General features: G+C 40.7%; 1 protein-coding gene and 1 long non-coding RNA gene across 7 annotated transcripts in view; one reads left to right on the top strand and one right to left on the bottom strand.

Annotated features, from left to right (window-relative positions):
- PHEX (phosphate regulating endopeptidase X-linked) overlaps nucleotides 1-21,788 on the bottom strand; it is a 218,986-nt gene that overhangs the window by 12,563 nt on the left and 184,635 nt on the right. For all 6 annotated transcript variants that reach the window (NM_000444.6, NM_001282754.2, XM_024452390.2 and 3 more), the window contains 4 exons: nucleotides 19,645-19,712; nucleotides 17,005-17,135; nucleotides 12,240-12,305; nucleotides 11,137-11,241 (listed from right to left, as the gene is read on the bottom strand). In NM_000444.6, the coding sequence (NP_000435.3) occupies nucleotides 11,137-11,241; nucleotides 12,240-12,305; nucleotides 17,005-17,135; nucleotides 19,645-19,712 (370 nt within the window). The remainder of the gene's footprint in view (nucleotides 1-11,136; nucleotides 11,242-12,239; nucleotides 12,306-17,004; nucleotides 17,136-19,644; nucleotides 19,713-21,788) is intronic.
- PTCHD1-AS (PTCHD1 and PHEX antisense RNA) overlaps nucleotides 1-21,788 on the top strand; it is a 1,100,142-nt gene that overhangs the window by 1,054,399 nt on the left and 23,955 nt on the right. The window contains exon 9 of the long non-coding RNA NR_073010.2: nucleotides 11,081-11,278. This is a non-coding gene — a long non-coding RNA (PTCHD1 and PHEX antisense RNA). The remainder of the gene's footprint in view (nucleotides 1-11,080; nucleotides 11,279-21,788) is intronic.

Below are 21,788 nucleotides of genomic sequence, written 5' to 3'. Positions count from 1 at the left end.
TGGGGCTGCTGCTTTTCAGAGATGCTCTGCCTAGAGAGGCAGTCTGGTCACAGTGGCCTTGCTGAACTGCTGTGGGCTCTACCTAGTTCAAACTTCCCAGTGGCTTTGTTTACACTGTGAGGGTAAAACAGCCTACTCAAGCCTCAGCAATGGCGGATGCCCCTCCCAACTCCAAGCTTAAGCATCCCAGGTCAACTTCAGACTGCTGTGCTAGCAGTGACAATTTCAAGCCAGTGGATCTCAGCTTGCTGGGCTCCATGGGGGTGGGATGCACCGAGCCCGGTACTGTAAGGAATCTCCTGGTCTGCCAGTTGCGAAGACTGTGGGAAATGCGCAGTAGCTGGGCTGGAGTGCACTGTTCCTCCTGGTAAAGTCTCTCATGGCTTCCCTTGGCTAGGAACAGGAAATCCCCCAACCCCTTGTGCTTCCCGGGTGAAGTGACGTCCCACCCTGCTTTGGCTCACCCTCCGTGGGCTGCACCCACTGTCCAACCAGTCCCAGTGAGATGAACCGGGTACCTCAGTTGGAAATGCAGAAATCACCCGCCTTCTGTGTCAATCCTGCTGGGAGCTGCAGACCAGAGCTGTTCCTATTAAGCCATCTTGCCTAATTTTTGTATTTTTTTAGTAGAGATGGGGTTTTGCCATGTTGGCCAGGCTGGTCTCAAACTAACTAACTCCTCACCTCAGGCAATCCACCCGCCTCGGCCTCCCAAAGTGCTGGGATTACAGGCCATGCCCGGCCCAAAACCCAACTTCTTGATGAAAAACTACAAGAGCCCCACTGCTGACTCATGTTGGACATGGAGAGTGAACAAGAAATAAACTTTGTCGTGTTGTTTCTGCAGCATAACTTACTTACTTTAATCCTGACTTGCCATATGACTTGAGGTATGATATGGTCTTCAAGTGTGAATTGAACTAGGACACATAAATATGGAAAAAAATATTCTAAGTGGAGGGGGAAATGGGAACAAAGACATGTTTGAGGGGAAAGAGAACCAGACATTCAGCTAGGCTGGAGTATATGATGCCTAACGGGCAGCAGTGGGAGAGGAAGGACAGTGTCAGATTTCTGAAGTCCTGAGCAGTTGGTCAGAGCGTTTAAACTATATTTAAAAGTCATTCTTGAGTAGGAAAATAATAAAACCCAGATTTTGAAAAAGATTTATCTGGCAGGGGTGTATAGTGGAAGGAAGAAATTAGAGGCTAGTTAGATTATTTATAGATACCAGGAAGGTTCTCAATGGATGTCCACTAAATAAGTAGAAAATAGAATGGAAAGAAGTAGAAGGATTAGAAGAATATCTGAGAAAAATGAGAGGTCACAGCAACTACAGGGACATAGAAAGCAGGAAAGGTGATATGATGTTGTTGCTTTTGATGAAGATAAACCACCAGTCACAGTGGTTCTGAATTTGACTTTGAAGATGATGTTTTGTAATGCGATCCCTTGATTTCCTCAGAAGCTGGCTAATATGAAGTTGTTTCTGGCATTTGATTTTACCTCATTTCTTATTTCTTCCTATATTCTTATACTCTAATATAGTATTGTCTTTGCTTAATATATCACTTAAGAGACTTCTGAAAACACATTATGCCTGCTACTGTTTTCTTAGTACCTTCCCAGGAGGGAAAGTAATTTTACTCCTTATAAGCAGACTTACTTTAAAGTGCAAAAGACTGAAAAATCTCTTCATTCTGTCAGTGGGAAAAGCTCCAAGATAAATTTCTCACTAGTGATATAAGATATAAAATAGCTTTCCACTTTTCCCCCCTAAATCTATCTATCTATCTCTTTAGTTTACAATAAATCAGTCAGCTATAGTTTAGTTTGGTATTATATCTGGAAACATTTCAGAATTATAAGTAACTTCACTATCAATCAATTAGTTTATTTTATCTACAAAGAGATATTGTGGGCTAGGATGTAAATAGTAAGAACTGATTGATAGATCACTATACTTTGTCCTCTAGAGCAGGGGTTAGCAAACTTTTTCTGAAAAGAGACAGATGGTAAAGATTTTAGGCTTTGAAGACTATAAGGTCCCTGTTTCAATTATTCAACTCTGCCACTGTAGTACAAAACCAGCTACAGATCATGAATAAATGAAGGAATGTGGCTGCTTTCCAATAAAACATTATTTACAAAAACAGGCAGCAGGCCATATTTGGCCCTAGTTTGCCAATCCCAACTCTAGAAAGTTCTATTTTTGTATACTTATTTTATATATCTGACCCAGTAAAAGGGAGTCTCCTTAGTTGAACTGTTAGTTTTAGTCATTTCAAGCAATTGATCTAAAAATATCAACTGTCTTCAATATACCCAGCATCTTTGCTGGGTGCTATGGAGATAGGAAGTGTAAGGATCCAGAAGATTAGCTGTGGAGATAAAACTAAAATTCTTGAACATTTGGAGAGCAGTTAAGTACTCAACTGCATGGTAATGAAAGTAAGAAAGATAAAAGGAGTTGAAGATAAAAGAAAATAATAAGGACTGGGGTCCTTGGGGAAGAGTTTATGGAAGATGTGGAGGGAGTGGAACTCAACATGGATCCTGAAGGATGAAGCTTAGATTGAATAATCATCTGAAGGGGAAGAGTAGGAAGGGTTGCATTATAGAAGGAGAATCAGAAGCAAAGCCAAAGAGACAGTAATGGGCATGACATTGTAGGGTAGAAGTGAGGATACTTGCCCCACTAAGGCTGAGTTTTTTCTCACCCAGTGGAGTTAGTTATGGGAAATTGAATTGGATTGAGTGGAGTTGGATCATACTGAAAATTTGGGAAGCCAGATGGAGGTATTTGGCTTCAATGTGGTAGGCATTTGGGAGCCACTGTAGTTCTTTCAGCAGGTTGGTAATGAAATAAAAGTGGTATTCCAATGGTATGTATAACAGTGGTTAAAAAAAAAAATGCTGAAGTCAGATTAACATTCCATAAGGCTGTTGGGATAATCCAGAGTAGAGGATATTTATTAAGATTATGCCTATATATGATAACTAACTATATATGATAAGATAGGGTAATGGGGATGCTATGGACTAAATGTTTCTATCCCCCAAAATTCTTATGTTGAAGCCCTGATCAATGTGATGGCATTAGGAGTTGGGCCTTTGGGAGGCAATTAAATCATGAGGGTGGAGCCCTCAGGAATGGGATTAGTACCCTTATAAGAAGAGGCCAGAGAGCTAGCTAGCTCTTTCCACCATGTGAGGACACAGAGAGAAATTGGCAGTGTGCAACCCAGAAGAAAGCCCTCACCAAAACTCGATCCCACTAGCACTCTGATCGCAGACTTCCAGCCTCCAGAACTGTGATAAATTTCTGTTGTTCATAAGCCACCTAGTCTATGACACTTTGTTATAGCAGCCCAAACTGTCTAAAACAGGAGAGAAGATGTCAAATCTGAAAAGCACTTAAAAGTATGAAACATCGAGAAGAACTAGAAGATGGCCAAATAGGAACAGCACTGGACTGCAGCTCCCAGCGAAATCAATGCCAAATCAATGCAGAAAGTAAGTGGGTGATTTCTGCATTTCCAACTGAGGTACCCAGTTCATCTCATTGGGACTGGTTGGACAGTGGGTGCAGGCCACAGAGGGCAAGCCGAAGCAGGGTCTGGTGTCACCTCACCCAGGAAGTGCAAGGGGTCGGGGAATTTTCTCCCCTACCCAAGGGAAGCCATGAGGGACTGAGCCTGAGGAACCGTGCACTCCAGTCCAGATACTGCACTTTCCCCACGGTCTTCGCAACCTGCAGAACAGGAGGAGATTCCAGATTCCCTCCAGTGCCTACCCCACCAGGGCTCTGGGTTTCCAGCACAAAACTGGGTGGCCATTTGGGCAGACACCCAACTAGCTGCAAGAGTTTTTTGTTGTTTCATTGTTGTTGTTTTTCTGTGTGTGTGTGTGTGGTTTTTTTTTTTTTTGATACCCCACTGGTGCTGGGAACGCCAGCAAGACAGAACCGTTCACTCCCGTCAGAAGGGGTTCTAAAGCCAGGGAGCCAAGTGGTCTGGCTTGGCGGGTCCTACCCCCACAGAGCCCAGCAAGCTAAGATCCACTGGCTTGAAATTCTCGCTGCCAGTACAGCAGCAGTCTGAGATTGACCTGGGACACTTGAGCTTGGGGGGGGAAGGGGCGTTCCCCAATGCTGAGGCTTCAGTAGGTGGTTTTACCCTCACAGTGTAAACAAAGCCACCAGGAAGTTTGAACTGGGAGGAGCCCACCACAGCTCAGCACGGCCACTGTGGCCAGACTGCCAGATGTCACCTCTCTGGGCAGGGCATCTCTAAAAAAAAAAGGCAACAGCCCCAGTCAGGGAATTATAGATAAAACTCCCATCTCCCTAGGACAGAGCACTTGGGGGAAGGGGCAGCTGTGGGCACAGCTTCAGCAGACTTAAACGTCCCTGCCTGACAGCCAGCGCAGTGGTCGAGCTCTGCTAAGGGTCAGACTGCCTCCTCAAGTGGGTACCTGACCCCCGTGTATCCTGACTGGGAGACACCTCCCGGTAGGGGCCGACAAACATCTCATACAGGAGAGCTCTGGCTGGCATCTGGCAGGTGCCCCTCTGGGGCAAAGCTTCCGGAGGGAAGAACAGGCAGCAATTTTTGCTGTTCTGCAGCCTCTGCTGGTGATACCCAGGTAAACAGAGTCTGGAGTGCACCTCCAGCAGACCTGCAGCAGAGGAGCCTGTTTGTAAGAAGGAAAACTAACAAACAAACAGAAAGGAACAGCACGTCTACTAAAATACCCCATCCGAAGGTCACCAACATCAAAGACCAAAGGTAGATAAATCCACAAAGATGGGGAGAAACCAGCACAAAGAGGCTAAAAGTTACAAAAACCAAAATACCTCCTCTCCTCCAAAGGATCACAACACCTCGCCAGCAAGGGAACAAAACTGGACGGAGAATGATTTTGACGAATTGACAGAAGTAGGCTTCAGAAGGTGGGTGATAACAAACTTCTCCGAGCTAAAGGAGCATTGTTCTAACCCAATGCAAGGAAGCTAAGAACCTTGAAAACAGGTTAGATGAATTGCTAGCTAGAATAACCAGTTTAGAGGAGAACACAAATGACCTGATGGAGCTAAAAAACACAGCATGAGAACTTTGTGAAGCATACACAAGTATCAATAGCCGAATTGATCAAGCGGAAGAAAGGATATCAGAGATTGAAGATCAACTCAGTGAAATAAAGCGAGAAGACAAGATTAGAGAAGAAGGAGTGAAATGAAATGAACAAAGCCTCCAAGAAATATGGGACTATGTGAAAAGACCAAATCTACGTTTGATTGGTGTACCTGAAAGTGACGGGGAGAATGGAACCAAGTTGGAAAACACTCTTCAGGATATTATCCAGGAGAACTTCCCCTCCCTAGCAAGACAGGCCCACAGTCAAATTCAGGAAATACAGAAAACACCACTAAGATACTCCTCGAGAAGAGCAACCCCAAGACACATAATCGTCAGATTCACCAAGGTTGAAATGGAGGAAAAAAAGTTAAGGGGAGCCAGAGAGAAAGGTCGGGTTACCCACAAAGGGATGCCCATCAGGCTAACAAACAGTGGATCTCTCTCAGCACAAACTCTACAAGCCAGGAGAGAGTGAGGGCCAATATTCAACAATCTCAAAGAAAAGAAAAGAATTTTCAACCCACAATTTCATATCCAGCCAAACTAAGCTTCATAAGCAAAGGAGAAATAAAATCCTTTACAGACAAGCAAAGGCTGAGAGATTTTGTCACCACCAGGCCTTCCTTACAAGAGCTCCTCAAAGAAGCACTGAACACAGAAAGGAACAACTGGCACCAGCCACTGAAAAACACCAAATTGTAAAGAAAGACCATCAACACTATGAAGAAACTGCATCAACTAATGGGTAAAATATCCAGGTAGCAGCATAATGACGGGATCAAATTCACACGTAACAATATTAACCTTAAATGTAAATGGGCTAAATGCCCCAATTAAAAGACACAGACTGGCAAATTGGATAGAGTCAAGAACTATCAATGTGCTGTATTCAGGAAACCCATCTCACATGCAAAGAAAGACACACATAGGCTCAAAATAAATAAAGGGATGGAGGAATATTTACCAAGCAAATGGAAAGCAAAAAAAAAAAAAAAAAAAAAAAAAAAAAAGCAGAAGTGGCAATCCTAATCTCTGATAAAACAGACTTTAAATGAACAAAGATCAAAAGAGACAAAGAAGAGCATTACATAATCGTAAAGGGGTCAATGCAACAAGAAGAGCTAACTATCCTAAATATATATGCACCCTATACAGGAACACCCAGATTCATCAAGCAAGTCCTTAGAGACCTACAAAGAGACTTAGACTCCGACACAATAATCGTGGGAGACTTTACGCCCCACTGTCAATATTAGATAAATGGACAGAAAATTAATTAACAAGGATATCCAGAACTTGAACTCAGCTCTGGACCAAGTGGACCTAATAGGCATCTACAGAACTCTCCACCCCAAATCAATAGAATATATATTCTCAGCACCTCATCGCTCTTATTGTAAAATTGATCACATAATTGGAAGTAAAACACTTCTCAGCAAATGCAAAAGAAAGAAAGAAAATCATAACAAACAGTCTCTCAGACCTCAGTGCAATCAAATTAGAACTCAGGATTAAGAAACTCACTCAAAACCACACAGCTACATGGAAACTGAACAACCTGCTCCTGAATGACTACTGGGTACATAACAAAATGAAGGCAGAAATAAAGATGTTCTTTGAAACCAGTGAGAACAAAGACACAATGTACCAGAATCTCTGGGACACATTTAAATCAGTGTGTAGAGAGAAATTTATAGCACTAAATGCACACAAGAGAAAGCAGGAAAGATCTAAAATTGACACCCTAACATCACAATGAAAAGAACCAGAGAAGCAAGAGCAAACAAATTCAAAAGCTAGCAGAAAACAGGAAATAACTAACATCAGAGCAGAACTGAAGGAGATAGAGACACAAAAAACCCTTCAAAAAATCAATGAATCCAGGAGCTGGTTTTTTGAAAAGATCAACAACACAGATAGACCACTAGCAAGAAAGACTAATAAGGGAGAGAAGAATCAAATAGTCGCAATAAAAAATGATAAAGGGGATATCACCAAGAATCCCACAGAAATTCAAACTACCATCAGAGAATACTATAAACACCTCTATGCAAATAAACTAGAAAATCTAGAAGAAATGGATAAATTCCTGGACGCATACACCCTCCCAAGACTAAACCAGGTAGAAGTTGAATCCCTGAATAGACCAATAACAAGTTCTGAAATTGAGGCAGCAATTGATAGCCTACCAACCAAAAAAAGTTGAGGACCAGACAGATTCACAGCCGAATTCTACCAGAGGTACAAAGAGGAGCTGGTACCATTCCTTCTGAAGCTATTCCAAACCACAGAAGAAGAGGGAATCCTCCCTAACTCATTTTATGAGGCCAGCATGATCCTGATACCAAAACCTGGCAGAGACACAACAAAAAAAAAGAAAACTTTCAGGCCAATATCCCTGATGAACATCTATGCGAAAATACCCGATAAAATACTTGCAAACCAAATCCAGCAGCACATCAAAAAGCTTATCCATCACATGATCAAGTCGGCTTCATACATGGGATGCAAGGCTGTTTTAACATATGCAAATCAATAAACATAAACAGAACCAATGACAAAAACCACATGATTATCTCAATAGATGCAGAAAAGGCCTTTGACAAAATTCAACACCCCTTGATGCTAAAAACTCTCAGTAAACTAGGTATTGATGGCACGTATCTCAAAATTGGAAGAGCTATTTATGACAAACCCACAGCTAATATCATACTGAATGGGCAAAAACTGGAAGCATTCCCTTTGGAAACCAGCACCAGACAAGGATGCCCTCTCTCACCACTCCTATTCAACATAGTATTGGAAGTTCTGGCCAGGGCAGTCAGGCAAGAGAAAGAAATAAAGGGTATTGAAATAGGAAAAGAGGAAGTCAAACTGTCTCTGTTTGCAGATGACATGATTGTATATTAAGAAAACCCCATCGTCTCAGCCCAAAATCTCCTTAAGCTGATAAGCAGCTTCGGCAAAGTCTCAGGATACAAAATCGATGGGCAAAAATCACAAGCATTCCTATACACCAATCACAGACAAACAGAGAGCCAAATCATGAGTCAACTCCCATTCACAATTGCCACTAAGAGAATAAACCACCTAGGAATACAACTTACAAGGGATGTAAAGGACCTCTTCAAGGATAACTACAAACCACTGCTCAAGGAAATAAGAGAGAACACAAACCAATGGAAAAACATTCCATGCTCATGGATAGGAAGAATCAATATCGTGAAAATGGCCATACTGCCCAAAGTAATTTAGAGAGAGATTCATTGCTATCCCCATCAAGCTACCATTGACTTTCTTTCTTCACAGAATGGAAAAAACTACTTTAAACTTCATATGGAACCAAAAAAAAAAAAAAAAAAAAAAAAAAAAAAAAAGAGCCCATATAGCCAAAACAATCCTAAGCAAAAAGAACAAAGCTGGAGGCATCACACTACCTGACTTTAAACTTTACTACAAGACTGCAGTATCCAAAACAGCATGGTGCTGGTACCAAAACAGATATATAGACCAATGGAACAGAACAGAGCCCTCAGAAATAACACCACACATCTACAACCATCTGATCTTTGACAAACCTGCCAAAAACAAGCAATGGGGAAAGGATTCCCTATTTAATAAATGATGTTGGGAAAACTGGCTAGCCATATGCAGAAAACAAACTGGATCCCTTCCTTACACCTTATACAAAAATTAACTCAAGATAGATTAAAGACTTAAACAAACTTAAGACCTAAAGCCATAAAAATCCTAGAAGAAAACCTGGGCAATACCATTCAGAACATAGGCATGGGCAAAGACTTCATGTCCAAAACACCAAAAGCAATGGCAACAAAAGCCAAAATTGACAAATGGAATCTAATTAAACTAAAGAGCTTCTGCACAGCCAAAGAAACTACCACCAGAGTGAAGAGGCATCCTAAAGAATGGGAGAAAATTTTTGCAATCTATCCATTTGACAAAGGGCTAGTATCGAGAATCTACAAAGAACTTATACAAATTTACAAGAAAAAAACAACCTCATCAAAAAGTGGGCAAAGGCTACGAACAGACATTTCTCAAAAGAAGACATTTATGCAGCCAACAAACATATGAAAAATGCTCATTATCATCACTGGTCATTAGAGAAATGCAAATCAAAACCACTATGAGATACCATCTCATGCCTGTTAGAATGGTGATCATTAAAAAGTCAGGAAACAACAGATGCTGTAGAGGATGTAGAGAAATAGGAGCACTTTTACACTGTTGGTGGGAGTGTAAATTAGTTCAACCATTGTGGAAGACAGTGTGGCGATTCCTCAAGGATCTAGAACCAGAAATGCCATTTGACCCAGCCATCCCATTACTGGGTATATACCCAAAGGATTATAAACCATGCTACTATAAAGAAAGATGCCATGCACACTTATGTTTATTGTGGCACTATTCACAATGGCAAAGACTTGGCACCAACCCAAATGTCCATCAGTGATAGACTAGACTGGATAAAGAAAATGTGGCACATATACACCATGGCATACTGTGTAGCCATAAAAAAGGATGAGCTCATGTTCTTTGCAGGGACATGGATGAATCTGGAAACCGTCATTCTCAGCAAACTATCACAAGAACAGAAAACCAAACCCCGCATGTTCTCACTCATGAGTGGGAGTCGAACAATGAAAACACATAGACACAGAGAGGGGAACATCACACACCAGGGCCTGTCAGAGGGTTGGTTGGGGGCTAGAAGAGCTATAGCATTAGGAAAAATACCTAATGTAGGTGACGGGTTGATGGGTGCAGCAAACTACCATGGCACATGTATACCTATGTAACAAAACTGCACGTTCTGCACGTGTACCCCAGAACTTAAAGTATAATTTTTTTTTAAAGTAAAGTAAAGTATGAAACATCTGGCTTCTGGAATACATGTTGTAAAATTGAGGACAGATGCATCAAATAAGACCTAAGAATCCAGGCTTTCTAACCAGGAAAATCTAAAGATGGGATGTGATGATAGAAACAGGAAAAGTAAAAGGAAAGTCATGTTGTGGATGACTAGAGTTGAGTTTTGTTGACATTAGGTTGCTAAATAATAATTTATTTAGTGTTTTTTATTAGCTTTAAGAAATAAAAGACCGCAGGCAAGCAAGAATCCTGTGACCAGAGTGAATTATAGAAGACTCGTGTGAGAATGAGCTTACTTAGCAGTGAAAGCAAAGACAGACTTAGGAACAAAAGGTTGTACTGATGAAAATTTTTGTCTAGCTTTGAGCATATTCATACACATTTGCCCACGGTGAGGCCATTCACTAGAACCTTTATTGACCTATCCCTGACTTCTTTGAAAAGGCTGCCCGTATGTTTATGACATAAACCAGTATAATAGCTAATAAAGATTTGGCACTTGCCTCATTAGACAGAGACTCAGGCTCGGAACTGTGCTTTATTTCGTGTACATCTTCCTTTCAATTTCTGCTCCAAGAGCCTATTAAACTCACAAAAGAGTGACATGACTCTCCTTGCCTTTGTTCTTTTTCAGCTCTAGGGGTCTCTGCATATGCATTAGACAGTTGGGAACATGACCCTGAGGGTCCCCCACAGGCTGAGAGTGGTGGCATAAAGTCAGCAAATGAGGCAAAGGAGGAGCAATATAGGAAAGAGCAGGCCCATGAAAGCCAAAGAGCAAGTTACTAGAAATGGTTACAAATAAATAGTATCAAACACATTAAGAAGTCAAGATACATTGAGGAACTATCAAATGAATTACCACAGGGCTGCTAACCCATTTGATTTAAAAAATACTAATAAACCTTGATTCAATCAGTTAATTAATTATGTACTACAGAACATTAAGAAGATGAGATTTACCCTGAAAATAATCAAGATAACATTTTTGCTGAAAATCAAAGTCATGCCATTAAACTTTTGTTTGAAATCTTTCTTTGATCAAGGGAGCAAACTCAAGTCCTGCATCTCATCCCTGATGCCCCTTCCTCAGTCTACTCACATGAGCATAACTCAGGAAGAAGAGCTGGTTGTTGGTGAATGTGATGCCTGGTAGAAGAGGCTCCTCAAGTCCCTGCCTTCTGTCATTTATCCATTTCCTGTAAGCCTGGTGAGAGAAGAAGAAGAGATGAGTCTCTGCAACGGTGGGTTTTTCTCTTTGCTCAGCTAGCACAGGAATAGCAAATATATACTCCTGCCACGTGCAAAATGCATCATGTCAAAATTTTCTTAAGAAACACAAGTCCATGTCCTGTTGCTTACCAGTGAGGCAGGTACACCTGCAAAAAGGCCTTATGCTCAATGTATACCAAAGCAGCTGGACCAAAGCATTCAGATGTTAAATAACTCTTGGAGAAAAAAAGCTGTTCTTTCCATTCCTAGCAGGGGACAAACAAATCTAACACAATGGCAAGGCCCCTATGGCAATACATTTTGGGGTCCGCATATTACCTTTTTTCATTTTGACACGTAAGAGAAAACCTATCATCTTCTAGTGCCCTCATTTTATAAAATAAAGTATATTTCAACTAGAATATAGGAAGGATATAACCAGGAATAACAGTCTAGTCATTAAATTTAATGCATTTAGCTTTATGAAATCTTTCTGTATTATCTTTATGCTTCTTATTTGACCACAAACTAGTGGATGATGAAAACGTTATTATGAACTATCACTTGGCCCAGTATATGAGAACCACTACCCTCTGGTCATAATTTAGAAGTTTGATATTTTAAGAGAAATTTATAGGAGGACTACAGAAAGACCTGTACTCAAGGAAAACAAATGAACCTAGCCCCAAGGAGATTGCTGTAGCATGCTTCGATCTGATGGTGAATGTATTTTCTAAAAGCTATTCTTTAAATACATGATTCTTAATAACAAATATTATTCTTTAGGGTGACTTCACACCCCAAAAAGAAAAAAGAAATATAGTTCTCTTTATGTAATAGGGTCAATGGGGAGACACACTTCTATTTACAGAAATTCCATAATATCTAACTAACTAACTCCTCAAGAACATGGCTATGGTATGAATTGAGGTACCCCCATATGGTGTTTTATGGCTTGATTTTTAGAACCACGGTAAATGTAGCAGCGCATACCCTAAAAGCTTCCCGCAGGCCTCCATTATCAGCAATATTTTCTCCCAGGGTCCTCTTCCCCTTGACCTAACAGAAAGAAAAAAGGAAAAAAAAAAAATGAATGCGTGTTTCACGGTCAACTATCATTCAGCAAGAGGCATCAATATTATAGCAAGAAAAGTATCATATTTTAAAGAGAAAATCACATTCAATAAATCAGAGGTAGGCATAATATATTGTAAGAAAGATGGCAAACTATCCTCAGCAAGGTGCTCTGGAATGTAATACTTTCTATTTCATTATGCTACACACTTCTTTTTCACCTACCTCTTCATTCTAACCAATCTAGCCAGCTCCAATAAAATGTTAACAATATTCTGAGTGACTCTGGTTTAATGGGAAAAAACAGGAATGTCAATACACAGGTTACTTTCTCTGATTAACTCACATAATTTGAGTATTCTTCTCATTGTGCCTGTGTTTCCAAAAATTTACCATCCACACAGGAACAAGATTTCAAGACCAACTATCATCATTTTACCTTCAGCAATTTCCATGGAAAATTAAAAGGAAAGTGGTTCTCCTAGGGAAGAAAAATCAAACAGAAGTAGTGCAGATCACAAGGTCGAGGTCTGCGATATGTATGACAACCAGCCAGCATGGTAAAAAAAATTATTCCCAATATTCAAGATTGTTTCTCAAAACTTTAAATGAGCTAGGACACAAATATTCTAAACTAATACAGCCCACACGCCAAATCCAACCTGCTGCTTGTTTTTGTACAGGCTTCAAGGTAAGACTGGATGTTACATACTTCAACAACTGGGGAAAAATCAAAAGAAGAATAATATTGTGGTGGCACATGAAAATTACTTATATGAAATTCAAATTTTGGTGTTCATAAATCAAGTTTTATTGGGACACAGCCATGCCCATGCATATAGTCTGTATTTGCTCTCTTGCTACAGTGGCAGAATTAAATATTGTAACAGAGACCATACGCCCCACAAAGCCTCAATTCTTTACTATCTGGCCCTTTACAGAAAAGTCATTCAACTCTTGTATAACACGCAGGATAACGGCCTCCCAAAGATGTCTGCGTCCTGATCCCTGGAATCTGTGAATATGTTACCTTATTCACTGCGAAGAAAGAAAGATTCAGGCACAGAGGAATGGTCCCCACAAAATGAAGCTGGAAAAATAAAGCATGGCAAAGGAGACTTTTATGATGTGATTAAGGATCCTGAGATGCAGACTTTATCCTGGATTGTCCAGGTGGACCCAGTGTAATTACAAAAGTTCTTACAAGAGGAAAAGGGAGGCAGGAGAGCGAGTGTCAGAGTGATGCAACATGAGAAGACTCCACCGGCCAGTGCTGGCTTTGAAAAACGAAGGGGCCATGAGCTAAGGAATGTGGGCAGCCTCTAAAAGCTAGAAAAGGCGAGGAAACAGATACTCCCCTAGAACCTCTACAAAGGAATGTGGCCCTGCTGACACTTTGATTTTAGTCCACTGAGATCCATGTCAGACTTCTGACATACAGAGCTGTATGATAATAAATCATACAGCGCTGTATGATAATTTATGTTATTTGAAGCTACTAAGTTTATAGTAACTTGTTATAGCAAGCAACAGAAAACTAATATACCTTGCTTTTAACTTTCAAGCCATGGATCTTACCAACACTTTACTTTTAAGCTAGCCCAGTCACCCAGGTATCAAGCAATATCAATGAATAAAAACAAATCTTTGGAAAATATTATTCACTGTAATCACTCAGGACCCTCCTAGCTTCAGTACACAAAAGCTACCATTCCTGCTTTACGTATATTCTTTGTTATCCACAGTCGTATGAGGTAAGTAAGTGCTAATTACCACCACCCTTGCTCAACAAATGAGGATCTAAAGCTCCGAGAGTGTAGCAGATGTCGATATCCCACCAGATCCCCTTTTCTGCCTAAACTGTGCACCCATTCCCACAACTGCTAACAGCTCAGATCAACCTTAGCTTATGGGAGTCACCTCATCTGGAGACCGCTGGGAGGTTATAACCCACCTTCCAGTAATTGACTGATGTGCAGTTTGAACAACCCAGTACCTGGGCTGAACAATTTCTGTGGTGCAGTTCGTGCTCCAGAATCCTCTGTGGAATCAGGGTGAGGCTAAACATTTCCTGAAACCAATAGGTTTCCCTCATTCCATTATAGGTTTTTCCTGAAACGACTTTCTGAATAAATCACTGACCTGGGCTGGGTGCGGTGGCTCACACCTGTAATCCCAGCACTTCGGGAGGCTGGGGCGGGCAGATTGCCTGAGGTCAGGGGTTTGAGACCAGACTGGCCAACATGAAGAAACCCCGTATCTATTAAAAATACAAAAATCAGCCAGGCGTGGTGGCTGGCACCTGTAATCGCAGCTACTGGGGAGGCTGAGGCAGGAGAATCACTTGAACCAGGGAGGCAGAGGTTGTAGTGAGCCGAGATCACACCACCGCACTCCAGCCTGGGTGACTCAGCGAGACGCTGTCTCAAAAAAGTCAATGACCTAAGGAACCCCTTCTTGGGCTCTGCTTCTAGTGAACCTAAGACAGAGTGATGAAGTAAACTGCTCGCATGTCACTGGGATTCGAACCCAAGCAGTCTTCTGTCTCCAGAGCCTTTGCTTCCTAATATGCTACTTTCTCAAGTCCCAACTCCTCTTGGCTCTTGAAGATTATGATTATATCCACTCCTGCTTAAAAAATTTAATCTCCTTCCTTTTTACTCTGAGGGTTTCGTGTGTGTTTGTGTGTTTTGAGACAGGGTCTCTCTCTTTCACCCACACTGGAGTGCAGTGGTGTGATCATATCTCACTATAGGGTTCCAACAATTCTTCCACCTCAGCCTCCTGAGTAGCTGGGACTACAGGCATGCACCACTACACCCGGCTAATTTTTTAAAAAATTTTCTGTAGAGACAGGGTCTCCGTATGTTTCCCAGGCTGGTATCAAAATCCTAGGTTCAAGTGATCCTCCCACCTTGGCCTTCCAAAGTGTTTAGAATACAGGCATGAGTCACCATGCCCAGCCATTCACTCTAAGCTTTATATCTAATTTAGAGCCTTTTGGAGCAGCCTCACCCCTCTGGCTCCTTGAACTCTGGTCTGCCTCAGTAGACCACGTGGCCCTAGGTTTGGACTCCCAAGACTCAACAGCTACGAAAAGGAACAACAACAAAAAAAGACTCAACAGCTGCTGACAGTCTGCATCTGTAGTGCCCCATCTGAGCTCCCCCGAAGTCACTACAAAGCAAGATTCAGGCACAAAGGAACGGCTCCTATAAATGAAGCCAGAAAAATAATAAAGCATGGCCCTTATATCCACAAAGGAAGCCACCCACTCTCCTGTGGGAATGAAACTGAAGCTGTTTTCTGATGGTTAAGTGGATTGGTGCTAAGACAGGCATGCCCTTTCTATCGTCCTTGTGACAAAGGTACACATTTGTCAGAATTAAGTTTCAATCTCTGACACTTTGGCCAAAATGAATGGTGAAGAGCAGTCCACCCACACATCACCCAGATATAAAATGAACTTAAAATAAGAACCTCAGCATGATATAGGGGAAGCAGTATGGACTTTGGAGTCGTACAGACTTACTTAAACTCTAATCTAGACTCTACCGTGGATTTTAATCTCTTTGAACCTCAGTTTAATTCCTTTGAACCTCATACGTAAAACCTGTACACTTAGTAATAATCTATACCTCTCAGGACTAGTATGGGGATACATTTGTTTCAATTAAGTGAAAAGTTTCATCTTCATGCCTGTATATACTAATCATCAGGAAATATAAATTCCCTTCCTCCAAGAAAGCTGTTCTATTGTTTTTTGGGGGGTTTTTAACCCAAAAATCTTTGGCTTTGTTTTTTCCTGGGATAGGGTACTAATGAGTATGTCACGAAGGATCAGGAATATTAACTAACGATCTTTTATTGAGCACTTGCTTTATGTCAGGCCTTGTGCTAGTGCTCCACATTGCTTTGCTCACTTAATTCTTACAACAAATCCATGAGTTCAGAAACATTGACCCGTTTCACAGATGAAGATGCTGAGACTCAGGAACATTAAGTAACTTGCCCAAGTTCATAAAACTAGTTGAACCTAGATTTGGACCCATGTCTGACTCTAGAACCCCTTTCTGCTATGCTTTTCTTGAAGCAACATATACTCCAGATGAATTTTCACAGTGTGAAAACCCCTGCACTATATAGAGATACATAGAAGCACCCATTTTAGGTCTTCTCATGTCACAGTTGTAGATATTTAAAAATATATAGGCAGAGAAATGGCTGTCCAGGACACTGATAAAAGAGCTAGACACCATTCAAGGATACAGACTCTGGTTTCTCTGCCTGAATGAGCAGTGGTCTCACTTGGGCTGAGCATGGTTTAAGAACCAGGAGAACCAAGTCAGTGTTTATAAACATTCCCTTTAAAAGAAGCACATGGATTTTTACCTAAATTCATCTACAAGTATAATAGATTTGAGGCATAGCAAGGATTTAGGTATTTTTCCAGCCCTAGTAATATATCAGGAAAAAGTTCATGCCTGGTTAAGGGATGACCAGGCCCCAACCCCAAAGATTCTGATTCAGCAGGTATGGGGTAGGACTCAAGAATGTTCCCAAGGAAGACAGATGCTGTTGATCTTGTAAACACGCTTTGAGAACCAATGGTTTAAAGCAAGCTAATGTCCAAATGAGGAAAAATGAACCACAAGGTGCCCCCCTTAGCCACAGTTGTACTCACATTTAAGCCAGCTTTCTTCCAATAATAGTTGCTATACTGGTTAATCATGCATTTTGTTTTTTCCTTAAACTTTTCTTCTGATTCAGTAGACCACCAAGGATCCAGGTTTCCATTTTTATCATATTTTCTACCTAGCAAAAGGAAAAGTTCGAAGACATTTGTGTTATTTATGGAAACTAAATTCATCTTTCCTTTCCCTCACCTCGACAAGCCTTCAAAAAGCAGTCATAACAGCAGGGAACACTCTTCCTGAGATCAGCTCCTGCATTCTCTCCAATGTCACAGGTTAATTGTAAAAAGGGCAAAAAGGATAAAGACAATTGAGGAAGTTCTTTCCTTCTAAGGAACAAAGAGCACCTTAAAAATGAGATTCATCAATTTATTACATATACTAGTCTTATTCAATCTTGGATTCTGTGTCTTCACCTGATTTGACCCAAAGTGTTCACTGGATTATGAAATAAAATGGCTTCATTCAGAAAGCCCATGGAGGCAATCAGAGCATTACTACCAGTGAAATTCCAAATGATCCATAGGAATAGCCCCAGTGAGTCATCCATACTGTGCGATCATAGACCCTGACTCAGCCCTATAGGAACCTGTTTCCTCCAAGTTGCCAGGAGCTGAAAGACACATAAAACCTCTGTTATGATTCATTCCACAGCCACTAGTGTGGACGGAAGGCCCATCTGTCCTGCTTAGACAGGGAAGATTGCTCTAAAAAGAAAACTTGGAATAAGAATGAAAATCTCCAAAACACAATGGGAAGAAAGATTACACATGCTTTCTTGCTATGTGCTCACTCTTCATTTTCTCTACAGCCTTTGAAACAAAATTTGGATGCTGCTAGACTGTCTTCTATATTCAGGGTTACTATGAGAATCAGAGGCATCGTTTAAATTTAATTATACAGAGAGCTTACAAAAAAGTCCCGTAAGTAAAGTTGTTAATTGGAACAATCCAAAACTCTTCAGCAAGGCTACATACTACTAACACCACCCCCTGGGATAGTATGGAGTCACTGTCCTCTACCCACTAACCAACCAATCATTAAATAGGTACCGGGCATGTACTTATATGTGCAATGCACTGTTCTAAGCATTGGTTACAGAGTGAAATTGCCACCATTAGATTCAGTCCTTTGAGAAAGACTCCAGAAGGTTCTGGGGAGGAACTGTACTTAAATTTCCTATCAAGAGAGGTCCAGAACGAAGAAAGGACTATTAGCTTTTTTTTTTCTTAGCTAAGACTCTCATCTCAGATAAACCAAACACCCAAAGGCAGAAAGTCTAGCTCTGCAGAGTCAGATAACTACAAGTCAGCCACATTTATAACTACAAGTCAGCCACATTTTAACAGAGAAGGGAAGACCAGGGGAGCAAAAAATCTAGGTGATTAAGGAAGGGCTGGTGGGAGTACAGGAAGACTTTTCTAGAAGAGCCTAAGTGTCTCTGGCCCTGGGGTAGGCATCCAGGAAGGATGTTGGAGATACTACAGGGATGGAAGAAAGAGGTCCCCTTCTATATAACGTTGCCTTAGGGCAGCTGGTTCCTGAGACTGCCTGTAAATCACTGTGTGGGTATGGATGTGATAGTAATTTGCTACTAATCCGTAAGTTTCAGAGATTTCATGTGGCCTTCCGATAATACTCCAAAGTTAAAGGAGAAAAGAGTGCTGATTAATGATGATGAGGACTCTCAAAGGAAGCCATTTCTTTAGTTTATGTCATATTCTGCTTTTTCTTTTTGCTTAAATGTCATCGGGATACAAAGCATATCCTATTATATAAATTATCAGGAAAGTATAGACTTTAAAATAATCAGAATAGGCCAGGCGCGGTAGCTCATGCCTGTAATCCCAGCACTTTGGGAAGCTGAGGTGGGCAGATCACGAGGTCAGGAGATCGAGACCATCCTGGCTAATGTGGTGAAACCCCGTCTCTATTAAAAATACAAAAATTAGCTGGGCATAGTGGCACGTGCCCGTAATCCCAGCTACTCGGGAGGCTGAGGCAGGAGAATCACTTGAACACGGGAGGCCGAGGTTGCAGTGAGCCGAGATCGTGCCACTGCACTCCAGCCTGGCGACAGAGCTAGACTCCGTCTCAATAATGATAATAATAATAATAATAATCAGAATATAAGCCAGTATAGAGAAAAATATAGATTAAGCATTGCATAATCTTCGAAATCGTAAAAGGGAACCAGTCAGCCAAGCTCCAGAGTCCTAACTCAACGAGTCCTAACTTGGCAGCATGTATAATCATCGTTGGAGCAGAGCTTGCTCCTCCAGGGAGAATATCTCAAGACAATGAATAAATGACAAAGGGAGAAGCTATAAATCAATCTCTGTAACTATTGTGGCAGCTACAGCAATCCTGATCTAAATGCAAAGCTAATTTTATTGAAATTACAAGGCTGCCTTTTAAAGTCTACCCCGATCACCAATGGGAACAATTGTTTACTTATTGCAAGCCATCACAGCAAGACACGGTGAAAAGTTTTCAATCAGCAATCATATTGCTTTGGATAATCTTCAAGCTATGATGCTGCTGCTATGCAAAGATAATCATAACAATTAACATCCATATAGTCAACATTATTATAAAAGCAGCAGCTTATAAAATGAACCGGTACTTACCATTATTATCAAATCCATGTGTAAATTCATGTCCGACAATTACTCCTATAGCACCATAACTCAGAGATCTATGGCATTAATACATAATTTGGAGACAATTACAAGCATGAATCTCAGAGCATAATCCTTTAATTTTTTCAATGGAAAGCCAAGATAAACTGCTTTCTAGTAACCATGGTAATAACAATCGAATAACCATACCCATAAAGCTGTAAAAAATCTAAACATACCTTCCAATTGAAATAGACAAAGAAAATATAAATTCTAACAAACATTGTCATTATTACCACATATGAACCTTAGTGCCCTACTCTCTGAAATTAGGGATGTGAAAGAGATGATTTCTAAAGTCCCTTTCAGCCTTAAGATTGCTATGATTTTTTTATCTGCTATAGCTATATATTTATGAACACCTAGAACAGGGCTTGAAAAGATCCTGTCAGTAAATATATCATGTATATTTTATCTGGAAACTTGTTGAAAAGTCACTATAGTCTTAGAAGTTAAATTGTTTTCCAAATGTAGTCATAAAAAAAGGAATAGAGTAGAGATTAAAAGGGATCACTCTATTTTCAAAGGTAGTCACGTTCCTCTTTCTGTTGTAGACAAGATAGCAACTGAATAGCAAAGATTTGAAAAAGGTGCCACATTATTTCTCTTCACCTCTGAAGAAGCATGTGGTAGATTATCTATAAAAGGGGACACCAACAATTCTCCCTACCCCTGAATGCACATAGCCCCTCCTCCCATCAAGAGACAATCTATTTCCCTCTTCTTAAATTTGGACTGGCCTTGGGACTTGCTATGACCAACAGAATGCAGTGGAAGGGGTCAGGTATGACTTCTGGGTCTAGGCCTTAAGAAACTTAGTAGCTTCCATTTTCCACCTTCTTGGAAGTCACTTGCAAAGAAGTTCAACTACACAGCTAGAGGGAATGAGGCCAAATGAAGAAGCGAGAAACCCCAGAAGTTGAGAGACTCCAAAGGAAGAGAGAGAGGCCCTGCCATGCCCCAGCCACGAGAGCCAGCCCAACTGGGGCACAGACAGGTGAGTGAGGTCGCCTTCACTCACCTGTCTGTGAGTCCAGCCCTAGTTGAGCGACCCCGGCCAGCACCATACAGAGCAGCTGTCTCAGCTCAGTCCTGCCCAAATTACAGAATCATGAGCTAATAAATGGTTGCTTGGTGGTGCTTTGTTACATAGCAAAGCATATTAAGAATATATGAAGAAATCAATAATGGGGTTTCCATATGTATGTCTGGGATTTTCTCTCTCAAATGTAAGTTCTATTGAGGCCACTCTCTTATCTACTTGTTCATTGCTACATCCTCTATGCCTTGTACAGCGTAAGAAAGTAACAATGATTTAACTGATTAGTTAACTTTACCATCTCATGCAAGTGACAGATCTGTATGTATCTTAATTTAGTCATTCAACCTGTGGATGAGAATTACACACCACTTAGAATCCTTATTGTGAAGATTCTTCATGAGATTTGCAATTATGCTAAAAATATCTCACAGTTAGTTCCTGACATGCAACATCAAAGTCACCCAGCAAATAGATAGGACCCATAACTGGAAGGAATGGAAATTTTTAAAGTAATATGTTATTACAGGACATAAATGATCCTTACCATGCTAACTGTTTGTCTCAACTACACCCAAGGAAGTGGTGTAAGATTTAATTTTTCCCCTTGGTGGCAATGCTTTCCTTTGTTATTTCTTTCCTGTAAGGTAATTTGCATTTGAAAAAATGCTTCCTACTGTTTTTCCATCATTGCAAACCTTCATTAAAGAAGTAAGAGTGAAATTATTCATTTCAATCATAGAGCTATCATAGCAGTGTGGGACAAATTTGTAATTTTACATAGTGTTAATTTTTGCGGCAGTAGCTATCAGTGTGCAGATTGCAACATTTAGTTTTTCCAGGTCTCTCAGCTCTGAGAATAAGTACTTGGTCCTCTACATCCCTCAGTCAATGCTGTTGACTGGATGAATTGAAGGCATGAACAATGGGAGCTTATAGAAATTGCTGTGCAATAAATGTCCTTTAAGCAGGGCTGCTCCAACAAGCTTCCTATTTGCAAAAGGCAATAGAGAATTCAGAAAATGATTGAATCATTTTAAGTTTCAATTCTCAG

The sequence above is a fragment of the Homo sapiens genome, chromosome X (assembly GCF_000001405.40).
Source record: "Homo sapiens chromosome X, GRCh38.p14 Primary Assembly".
Taxonomy (NCBI): domain Eukaryota; kingdom Metazoa; phylum Chordata; class Mammalia; order Primates; family Hominidae; genus Homo; species Homo sapiens.
Note: the sequence above shows the minus strand (reverse complement) of the source record. Positions and strands in the feature narration are given on the sequence as shown.